General features: G+C 41.0%; 1 protein-coding gene across 4 annotated transcripts in view; it reads left to right on the top strand.

Moving 5' to 3' along the window:
* SCN8A (sodium voltage-gated channel alpha subunit 8) overlaps positions 1-12,018 on the top strand; it is a 221,632-nt gene that overhangs the window by 100,681 nt on the left and 108,933 nt on the right. For all 4 annotated transcript variants that reach the window (NM_014191.4, NM_001177984.3, NM_001330260.2 and 1 more), the window contains exons 7-9: positions 7,657-7,878; positions 9,231-9,294; positions 10,860-11,001. In NM_014191.4, coding sequence (NP_055006.1) covers positions 7,657-7,878; positions 9,231-9,294; positions 10,860-11,001 — 428 coding nt within the window. The remainder of the gene's footprint in view (positions 1-7,656; positions 7,879-9,230; positions 9,295-10,859; positions 11,002-12,018) is intronic.

The raw sequence follows: 12,018 nt of genomic DNA on the forward strand, positions 1-12,018 counted from the left end.
CTACCTGCCTGCTATGCAGTCTCCTTCCAAGGCGGGAGCACCAGTGTATGAGTCAGTGGATCTGGGCCATCTCTTGCTTGGAAGTATGTCATTTTGATTCTTGTGTGGTAGAGCTGGCCCATGATTCCCCCTTAGTAAAAACCATTGTTCTGTATACCAAGTTTTCTCGTGGATCACTTCAGTGGAATTGTTGTTCTCTTTGTCTTCTCCTCTTCCCAGTTTGGTTATAGACTACTGCCAAGGGTGCCAAAAATAGAATGTAAGTGAGAGCAACCACTGACCTGGAGCCTGCAAGGTCTCACAAAGCTCCCTGTGTATCAACTTCCTTTATGAGAGCTTTTCCTTTCCTAGAGCACTCACCCACCCCCAACCTGGGCTGATACTGTCCTTCCTCTTTGTGTCTTTGGTAGATATTCTGAGTATGTCAGGGCCGCCAGGACTCCTGAAGATTGGACAGTAAGGTGCATCAGTTAGCTCTGCCCTTTTCTGTAAGAAATGCTTTGCTTTACAGCTTTCTTGTAGCTCAGAAAAGACCAAACCCACCTTCTGACCCTTTTTACTTTACTTGACTTGGATACATACTATTTATGCTTTCCGTTTTGCTCCAGAGGCAGCAACTTGGAGAACAGTGTACACAAGGTCTGTGCTAAAAGGGTCGGTTATAGAGGAGACCCTTTCTAAATTTTCTTTAGTCTGGAATTTGTCAGGTTCACCTTGACATTGAAATATTCTGCCTAAAAGTTTATATGTCTTAAAACTTTGTTTTCACTTTGTATTTGTCTGAGTCCCGCATAAAGTGAACTTCTAAGTGACTCTGTCAGAAGTTTTGTCCTCTGCATGCTTTGATCATGTGCCACAGGGCTGACATGCCCAAAGAAAGGGTGGGAATCTCGAAAGAGTTTCTCAGGTTCTTCTTAGCAGCATTTAATAGTATAAGTACTAATAGAACTGGTTGAGAGAAACTCACTTGTCAGTTTCTTTTCATTTCTGTCATTTAAATGGCTCCCCCAAAGCACTGCTTATCTGCTGCTCATTAGCACTTATTTAATTTCATTCCACCTTCTTTAGAATTGTACTTTCTTGATTATTTTTCTCTTGGCAATTTTATTTCTCAGCTTTCATTTCTGTTACTTTCACTCCTAACCAGTGGGATCAGACAGGAAGCAGGGAAAATGATAGGCCTTTCTTTTTCCCATCCCAGTATTCACAAAGAAAGCATTTTCTTTAAACGTATACTTTGTGAATGTGGCAATTTCTGCTGCATAATGATGGGAGATATAAACGGTTTTAAGACTATATCCTGACTCATTGTCTCTTTTAAACTATTCTGGTTATTCTCTTGCCTTTGTATTTCTCCTTTTCCCACATTGCTTCTTAGGAAAGATAAAGTTTAACAGTGGTCCTAAGTGAAAAAACACTAAATGCTCACAGGATCCCACTGACCCATCTTTGAGAGCTAGTTTAGTTTTGGTCACACTTTGTGATGTGAATCAGGTCTCGAGTAAATAAATCTAGAGTCCCCCAATCTCTTTCAAATTACTGTTGCTCTAAAGAATCTTCAAGAGCTATCACTGTAGGCTGGGTGCAGTGGTACACACCTATAGTCCCAGCTAATCAGGAGGCTGAGGCAGAGGATCACTTGAGCCCAGGAGTTCGAGGCTGCGTTGAGCTGTGACCACACCTGTGAGTAGCCACTGCATTCCAACCTGGGCAGCATAGTGCGATCTTGTCTCTTAATGAATAAATAAATAAATATTATCATGAGGATTGCAGTTGCAGCAGGAAAAGTCAACACAGCACACTACTTTACCCCTATGCTTTGTCTGAACCCAAGCCTAACTCTGGGAACAGGGCAGTTGTTCTTTCCCTGGGTTGAGAACTGCTTGTTATTGCTACTGAGGCCTGTTTCAATATTAACTTTGTAGGGGAATTAGCTCACATTGCTTCAAACCACTTAGATTTCTCAACCTGAGCTACAAACTAGGGAATATGAATTAGCTTTATTTGTTTATTTTATTTATACATATATATTTTTTGAGACGGAGTTTCGCTGTTGTCACGCAGGCTGGAGTGCAACGGCCTGATCTCAGCTCACTGCAACCGCCACCTCCTGGGTTCAAGCGATTCTCCTGCCTCAGCCTCCTGAGTAGCTAGGATTACAAGCATGCGCCACAACGCCCAGCTAATTTTTGTATTTTTAGTAGAGATGGGGTTTCACCATGTTGGCCAGGCTGGTCTTGAACTCCTGACCTCAGGTGATCCACCCACCTTGGCCTCCCAAAGTGCTGAGATTACAAGTGTGAGCCACCGTGCCTGGCAAATTAACTTTATTTATAATCTGGCCATCCAGTGGTGGAAGACTTTGACCCCAATATGCTTGACTGATTTTTCTGGACATAGCACATAGGCAGGCATTGTTCATTTGTTCACAGGATTCCTGGGCATTGTGAAACGTGACAGGAGATTCAGAAGTACCTTTGGACATAGAGTAGAATTCTTCACCTGCTTCTTAAAATTCCTTAAATATCCAGCTTTCCCTCTTGTCACTGACCGTTCTCTACATTGAATCCAGCTGTCTTTTCTTGGCCTGTGGTAAATGTATTAACTGTTTCTACTCAGACACGTACCAAAGCGAGCTAATGTTAGCCTTTTCCAAGAGTTCTCACTGTCCAATTTGCCCCCACGTGGCTTCTGTTGCACACTCTGTTGTGTAGGAGTCTTTTGAAGAAGCATTCTGCTGTTTTGGATAATTGGTTTTCAGTCAGTATCTTGCTTGTTCTGGAATGTGATGTTGTGAGCCAATAGAATAAAAAGACAGTGTCTCTGTATAGCCAGAATGATGGCATTCTACATTCTGGCTTGTGTCAGGTCAGGAATTCTACTAACAACTTTTTGCCTTTATTGACAGGTGTTGATGGTACGAGGGAGCGCTTTCAGGCAGTCACAGCTGGCAAGACTGTAGAGCTTGAGCTTAGGAAATGAATTGATGGCATCATCTCCATAAATTGGCATTGATGTCTGCAAATATGGCCATTTGCAATTTATCCTAATGCAAGGAAGAAGAGTCTTGGCTGAGACCAATGTATAGTTCAGTGACTGTTTATTATTTAATATTGCTGTGTGATCATGTGCCTTCCTTTACCTGAAAACATGAAGCCGCATCACCTTTCTTCTTCTTTTTCCTTTGCCTTCTCATTTTCTCTTGGTGATCTGGATGGGAATCTTGGAGAGTAAACCTTTTAGATTGCTGTAGTTAGTGTTATTTAGTGATTATCCTTGCTTAATTAAGATTTATCTGACCCTCTGTGAAGTATAAGCAGCTGAATACCATTTCCAATTAAGTTTCTACTTTAAACATCTTAAAAGCTAACTCACCAATGAGATGATCTAAGCCCCAGACTTCAAAGCTGAGGCTTGAAAAAGTGTCTTTTTAGCTTCCTTGACTCATGTTTACACATTTCTTTAGCAATAACATCTGGTTTATGGAGAAGAGATGTTAAACCAGCTGATTGTGAGCATTTGGGTCCATCTCCAGGAAAGTGAATTCCATGCAGGCTTGACATATCAGATTAGTGGGGGTCATCTCTGGTTGCAAGTAGCAGGACACAGGAATAATTCAGGGAACCCAAGGGCTGGAATGCACTTGTGCTTCTGGGAAGCCAGTAGAAACCAGAATGCAGAGCCAGAAAGCCACAGGTACAAGGAAGTACTTTGTCTCCATCTCTCTTCTCTCCACGTGTCCATTTCTCTCTCTCAGCATACTAACTGCCTTTACTGCTCAGTCACATCTTAATATAATGACAGAATATGGCTACCACTTAGCTTCCAAATTTATTTATTACCATTCTCACCACATGAAAATATTACTCAACTGTCTCTTATCCTGTTCCAAATTCCTGTAGGAAAGGATCTGGATTTAGGTCAGATGTCCACCCAGACATCTGCAACTACTGAGAGAAGGTGACCTTGTACAGACATGGCTGCTGAGAGCTCATTCTTAAGGAACAGGGGATAGTTGGAGCTCATGGCCTAGAATTTCCACTTATGTGGACCTGGAACTGTCAAAGAGCTCCCAGCCCAGGAAAATCAGATTCTACTCATGCTAAAATTGTATGCTTTTCAAATTATTTACTTACAAACTCAGTGGTTTGGCTATTTTGTAGTATTATACTCTTGTTACTAATACAAAAGACAGCTTACAGCTCATTTCTCAATTCAGTAAAATAGCAATGGTAAAGTCCTTTAACAGTCATCTGGTGTTTGGAAAGGTGATTGTCTGAATCGTCTGGAGAGATGGCTGTATAGGCTTCATAAAAAAGTCCAGGAAAAAGAAACTGTACAACCATTTTTAGTGACCCATTCAAGTATTATTTTTTAAATCAGTCTATGACTTTGAAAACAGTAAACTTGCGTAATTTTAGAAGCCTAGGATTGAATTATTGATTCAATATAGGCCCACTCCAACCCAGTCAAAATATAATGAGGACTTCTCTGTTCCTTAGCAACTAAATGAAAATAAATTCCATTACACTGGAACAATTTTTATTTCTTGATGGCTGCCTTCTACTTTATTCCACCAGTACCTTCTTACCTAGCTGTGTGATTATGATACGATTTCCCAGGGCCTTAGGTTTAAAAGATAGCTTGAAATTTCAATTACTTAATCTCAATCAAAGAAACATCTCTGCCTTATTTTGAAAGACTTTTGGAGAAGATTCTTCAGCTTCTCCACTACTGCCCACTGCTGTGTAGTGGTGTGTTTATCCATGTTCTGTAGATGAGAAAATGAGACTATGAGAAGTAACCTTAAATTTGATTTGAAACACAATAGGTCAGGCCGGGTGCAGTGGCTCACACCTGTAATCCCAGCACTTTGGGAGGCCAAGGTGGGCGGACGACCTGAGGTCAGGGGTTCGAGACCAGCCTGGCCAATATAGTGAAACCCCATCTCTGCTAAAAAAAAAAAATACAAAATTTAGCCAGGGCATGGTGGCGGGCACCTGTAATCCCAGTTACTCTAGAGGCTGAGGCAGGAGAATCGCTTGAACCCAGAAGACGGAGGTTGCAGTGAGCCAAGATCGTGCCATTGCACTCCAGCCTGGACGACAGAGCGAGAATCCGACTCAAAAAAAAAAAAAAATGAAAAAGAAACACAATAGGTCATAAGTAGTGATTGAGCCAGGGCCAGAATACCAGCTTTCTGATTCCCTGTCTGATGCTCTTTCTGCACAGCCCTGTGAGGAGAAAAATAATCAGATTATAAATGCTTTGTTTCCTGGAGCCCAAGCAAGCGCTTCATAATCCCTTTGTGGCCACAGTCTCCATGGAAGGCTCACTCTAAGAAAGCACAGGACTCTGCATCCTTTATCTCTACAGTCTACCTCTTGGTTCTTTTTTCTTTAATTCCTCTTAGATCCCTTTTAAGATATTTGTGTAAGAGGAGAGAACTTTCTCATTCATTTACTCTCCCAATAAAAATGTATTAAGTGGCTGCCTTTGTGCCAGGTCTTGTGCTAGGCAGAGCATCCATTTCTATTATTGGACTCAGAAAATTCTATTGGGCTCGACTTTGAAAAGTCTAGGTGATTACTTGCAAAATACAGCAAAAGAAGAATCATGTCCATACCACCCATTAGATCACCATTATATGAGGTTAGCCCTGAGCAGTGCCATTTTCCCAATCATGTCCCTTTGAGGAGGGTACCATATGTAAAATAGTGATAACAAGTGTTGAGTGCCAGCTATGTGCCAGGAACTTTACTAGGTATTTTATATAAATTATCTATTTAAACCTAACAACAACCCAATGAGGTTGGTATTGTAAATCCATTTTTATAGATGAGTAGACTGAGGTTCAGACAATAATGGTCAACATTTGACTCATTTGCTATGTACTAAATGCTTTGTGAAGTTTTTTTTGTTTTTGTTTTTTTGTTGTTGTTGTTTTGTTTTTGAGACGGAGTCTCGCTCTGTTGACCAGGCTGGAGTGCAGTGGCGCAATCTTGGCTCACTGGAACCTCCACCCCCGCACCGGGTTCAAGTGGTTCTCCCACCTTAGCCTCCCACAGTAGCTGGGATTACAGGCGTATGCCACCACACCTGGCTAATTTTTGTATTTTTAGTAGAGATGGGGTTTCACCGTGTTGGCCAGGCTGGTCTTGAACTCCCGACCTCAGGTGATCCACCTTTCTTGGCCTCCCAAAGTGCTGGGATTACAGGGGTGACCTACTGCTCCCAGCTGCTTTGTCAGGTGTTTTATATGAACCACACTTAATCCTCACAGCAGCCCTATGCTACTCAACTATAATTTTCCCTACTTTAAAGATGAAAAAACAGATTCTAAGAGGTTAGAAGGCGTATTGCGTAAGTCAGACAAGTAAGTGGCATAACTTAGTTAAGATTAGTGATTATCTACCCAGGCACACCCTTCAAAGCCAGGATTAGGATTCCCTTGAATTTCAGTTCAGTGGTCTTGCCTTCAGAAGTGAGCAGGGATGAGATTCTTCCTGAGGCCTGTGTGTCAAGGCTTAGCGCCTGCCTCTTGCTCATCCTGGTGCATTGGCTACCAAGAGTGCTCAGTGCTTTGTTGGCCGTATCCTATGGATAGCCTGATATCTGGGCACGTAAAGACTCATTTGGACCCAAAAAGCATGAACCTACAACCATATTTTTCTGTCTCTTCTGTCACTGATCTCTCCATGTGCAATTAAGAAATACACCTTCAGTCTACATTTGAGCCAGTGTCTTACATTTAAACTTTAAATTAAAATGTTTTTAATGTTTTTGTTTTTAATTTAGGACAGAAAAAAGATCATTGTAGAAAGCAGGGAATGTATGTGATACAGAAGAAGTATATTTTTAAATGGAAAAAGACAAAGTATAAATACTGGATTAATAATAACCTTTTCAATACCTTGGCATTTCCAGAATCCTTGGGAAAATATTATTGTACCTTCTCATTTATTATTGGCTTTTAAACTTCCCAGTGGTTTTCTTTCTAACCTGGAGGCCTCCTCAATTCCTGATTTTTCCATTTGTTTCTTTGACAAATATTTACTAAATACCTACTGTGGGCTAGGCACTATAGATACAGCTGTGAACAAGGTAGATATAAAAAATCAATTATAACCATGACAAATGCTACAGAAGAAAGTATAAGATGCTACTGAAACACTAGTAACAATGGAGAGGAAGAAGAGTTGCAAAGTCAGAGAAGGCTTTCTGGAAGAATTGACGTTTAAACTGGGCCTTGAAGGATGAGTAGGATTTAGGCACAGAGGACAAGATAATATAGCAGGGAGCATTCCAGGCAGAGGGAACAGCAGGTATGAAGGCCCTATGGCAAGTAAGAGCTGGGCTCATATGGGGAACCAAAAAGTAGTCAGAGATGGGAAAGTGTTCCCAGGAAGAAAGGAGCCACATGTTGGCAGAAGAATCTTTCTTTTGCTTTTTAAGATGTATTCACTTAAAAATGGATACTTCTGGAATATTGATAATTTTGCTGACCTATTATTATTCTCATGGCATAAATATAAAGTGGCCATATTTCAAGAGTGGTGCTGTGGGGAGGAGTAGCAGCCAGTGGCTAAGAGGGAGGCTTGGGGAGGTGGGGAGGGCTTTGAGGTGCCTCTGATTCCGGGGATTCTGTCTCCTCAGGCCTGAAGACAATTGTGGGTGCCCTGATTCAGTCTGTGAAGAAACTGTCAGATGTGATGATCCTGACAGTGTTCTGCCTGAGTGTTTTTGCCTTGATCGGACTGCAGCTGTTCATGGGGAACCTTCGAAACAAGTGTGTTGTGTGGCCCATAAACTTCAACGAGAGCTATCTTGAAAATGGCACCAAAGGCTTTGATTGGGAAGAGTATATCAACAATAAAAGTAGGTGGCCTCTTCTCTGCAAGAGGAATAGGAAAAGTCTATTCCTAGTTCACATGGTCAGAAGCTACCACAGGGCTTAAAAAAGTAGTTGGAGGCCGGGCGCGGTGGCTCACTCCTATAATCCTAGCACTTTGGGAGGCTGAGGCAGGTGGATCACCTGAGATTGGGAGTTTGAGACCAGCCTGACCAACATGGAGAAACCCTCTCTCTACTAAAAATACAAAATTAGCCAGGCGTGGTGGCACATGCCTGTAATCCCAGCTACTCGGGAGGCTGAGGCAGGAGAATTGCTTGAACCCGGGAGGCGGAGGTTGCGGTGAGCCAAGATCACGCCATTGTACTCCAGCCTGGGTGGGCAACAAGAACAAAACTCCATCTCAAAAAAAAAAACAAAAAAAAAAAGAGGTAGTTGGAGCTGGAAAGGAATGGCAGTGCTACTAGAACTAGCCTTGTAAAATTATTCCTTTCCTCGACGTAGGATTGTGTTCAGAAGCTCTCAAACATCAGCCCTCTCTCTCCCTTTTTCGCATGTACCCCTAAACTTTTGCTTTGAAATTCAGGCTTAGAAGCTTGATAAAAATTATTTTTTTCCCTAGCTGAGTTACTTGGGATATTTACACATTTAGTCCAGAATGTATCTATGGAACTCAAATTTTCTTAATACTACTAAGACTATTGCAGTCGATCTAGTCTAGGGAATCAGGTGATCTTTAAGGCACTATTCAATCCTATTACAGTTGAGTAGTTTTAATCATTTTATTTGAGGAACCAAAGGAAAATTTGATGTAGTGATACTTCTTTAGACTCATGAAAAAAGTTAGAGATGTCACTATTAGTCATTCCTGAGAAAATAAAGTCAGTTTAGTAACCATAAGAAAGTGTTGCAAAGGAGATTTCGGGGACATATGCTGGAAAGGAAAACATGCCTTGTAATTTAAAATAGGACCTAGTATCTAGTGACCAATGAGCTCTAAAATATCTTTGATAAAGACACGTTGTAAGGATAGAAGAATAGAGTGGTATAAAGGGGTGTACAACTCAGAAAACTTACTTTTAGGTCCCTTTGATTCAAGTACCAGAATCTGGCATATAGATTTGAAGTATGAATGGAAGTTGGGTGTCTGTGAAAACTATATTGCATCAAGAACTTTGGGATAGCACTTTTAATTTGTAAATATATATAAGAAAATCATTAATAGGAAAGAATTCTTATCAGCTGTCACAGCTGTTGGAAAAGATTTATGAGCTAAAGTCAATAACTTTCTGCTGGGGCTAGTTAGGAACAGTGTAACCTTATTCTCTCATTCACTTAAATCTGCCTGTTCATTTCCTGCCTCTTCAAACTTTTCTAGCAAATTTCTACACAGTTCCTGGCATGCTGGAACCTTTACTCTGTGGGAACAGTTCTGATGCTGGGTAAGTAGCTCACCTAGTTTTATTCTCTTTCCTTAAAATAATGTACCTGTTATTAGTAGGGTCAAAATAGGCAATATGTTTACTTTTCTTTGTGCTCAAGTAGTAGACCTTACAATTGCATCTGACCTATCGGTTGGCATAGATTTTCTTTGTTTCACATTTGTCTATCTAAAGTTGACATTTCACTAGTAAGTGCCTGTGCTTGTAGTCTCAAGCCAAAATGAAAGAATCCAAGGATGAAATCAATAACACCAGATAGCTTACCTGCCTCTTGGGGACTCCTCTCATCCTATAGTACAATAGAGAGCAAAGATACCATCTTAGTGATGGTTATGGATCCAAGGATGACCCAAAATATGCTTGACCTGACAGCATAGAGGAGGAAAAAGAGTAGCAACGTAGTATTTGAGTCCTGATCCTGATACTTCCTGCTCTAAGACCTTTGGCAAGCCATTTAACTTACCTGAGCCTTGGTTTTTTTCATCCATAAAATGGATTTATTTAATAAGCCATGCTCTCTCTTGCTCACAGGGTTACTGTAAGGATCCACTTACATTACATGAAAATGCTTTGTAAACAGAGGGCTTTATAAATGTAGGGTGGTAGTGTCATTTTGCAGAGTATATTGGTCCTCTAAGAACTGGTGTTTTAACATGACCACAATGTCTAGAAATCCATTTAATTTCTGTATTAGACTACTAGAGATTACATTGAAAGAAATATGAGATGAATCTAAAAGCAGGAGAAATGGTGTAACTGAGGTAACTGAAATCCCCCCTTGACTTAGGTTGTCACAGTGAGTGTAAAGAAAACAAATGATTAAGAGGAACTTCTGGCCAGGCGCGGTGGCTCACGCTTGTAATCCCAGCACTTTGGGAGGCTGGGGCAGGCAGATCCCGAGGTCAGGAGTTCGAGACCAGCCAGGCCAACACAGTGAAACCCCGTCTCTACTAAAAATACAAAAATTAGCCAGACGTGGTGGCAGGTGCCTGTAATCCCAGCTACTCGGGAGGCTGAGGCAGGAGAATCGCTTGAACCCAGAAGGCAGAGGTTGCAGTGACCCGAGATCATGCCATGGCACTCTAGCCTGGGCAACAGAGCTAGACTCTGTATCAAAAAAAAAAAAAAAAAAAAAGAGGAACTTCTAGCCGTTTGTCATTTGGGATAATAGCTGAGTTAAATTTGATTGAATTGCACATTGATATGAATCTAGAACAGTACTTCTCACACTTTGGCATGCATAAGAATCACCTGGCATACCTCTTAAAAATGCAGATTCATAGATCCCATATCCAGAACTTTTAATTCCTAGTTTGGGTAAGGATGCAGGAATCTGCATTTTTAAAGACCATGCCAGGTGATTCTGACCCTAGGCTGTCCCCAGAAGTTGGTTAGCTGCTTATTTCCTTCTTCTTTTTCTTCTAATTTGTTGGCCTGGCTCTATCAATGGTTATTTATTATCTCCAAGGTCATGGAGTAAATAGAATTATGTTATTTATTATCTCCAAGGTCATGGCTGGGTGGAATTATGTTGAAAAGTCCTGAACTTCCCTTTCTTTCTTTAGGCAATGCCCAGAGGGATACCAGTGTATGAAAGCAGGAAGGAACCCCAACTATGGTTACACAAGTTTTGACACTTTTAGCTGGGCCTTCTTGGCATTATTTCGCCTTATGACCCAGGACTATTGGGAAAACTTGTATCAATTGGTGAGTAATACCTCTTTTCCTTTGGCCATAGAGTTTGCATGAGCTTATATGGGGTTGGGGACCTTCTGTGTGAGAGACATTTAGTGAAGACATTATACAAGATCTAACTGTTGTGTTTCCCACAGTCAGCTGGTTTTTGATATTAAGTGAATTCTCTCAGTTCTCATCCCTGTTTCTCGAATGCTCAGTCATGTATAGCTGTAGACTCTTACAGCCTTGACGGCCTCTTGTCTGGCCTGAGAATCTGCTATCTCTATCTACTTCCTATTGTTCATCCTCTGCAGCATATCTCCTTTTGGATATTTGGGGTTAGGGTTTGTTTTTTTTGTTTTGTTTTGTTTTGTTTTGTTTTTGAGGTAGGTACTACAGGCATGTACCACCACACCTGGCTATAATATTTCTACTTTTTGGAAAGTTGGGATTTCACTCTGTTGCCCAGGCTGGTCTTGCAACTTCTGGCCTCAAGTGATCCTCCCACTGTGGCCTCCCAAAGTGCTGGAATTACAGGCGTGAGCCACCATTAGGGCTTCTGTTTAAGAAAAATTAAACACCTCTTTGTGCAAGGCACTATATAGATGGAATTTCCATAAGGACCTTGGAGTATATCAACATTTTTGAGATTTGTAACACATTTGGATTTGTTCAAGCAGGTTGTACAGATAAAAATAAGGTCAGTAACATTCTGTTGGGCTACACTGGTGACTCTGGACAAGTCATTTAACTTTGCTGGTTGTAATGAAGTTAGTGTAAGTGATTGCTAAGTGTCTTACAGCTTAGAAATTTTATGACAGTCCATTGTTTTCTCTTTGTGTCATTTGGTGATACCAGTTACTTTGAAAATGAAAAACACGTCCCCTCAGGCATGAAGGACCCTCTTTAAGGGAAGTTTCTAGTTCAAATATCTGAGTTAATTCTTACCTTTCTGTTGCACAGCCTAGAGTTCCCTCAGGTTGAATGTTTCTCATGAAATATTTGTGATTGATGCTGTTTCTTTTTTTTTTTCTTTTTTGAGACAGA

This window comes from Homo sapiens, chromosome 12 (assembly GCF_000001405.40).
Source record: "Homo sapiens chromosome 12, GRCh38.p14 Primary Assembly".
NCBI lineage: Eukaryota > Metazoa > Chordata > Mammalia > Primates > Hominidae > Homo > Homo sapiens.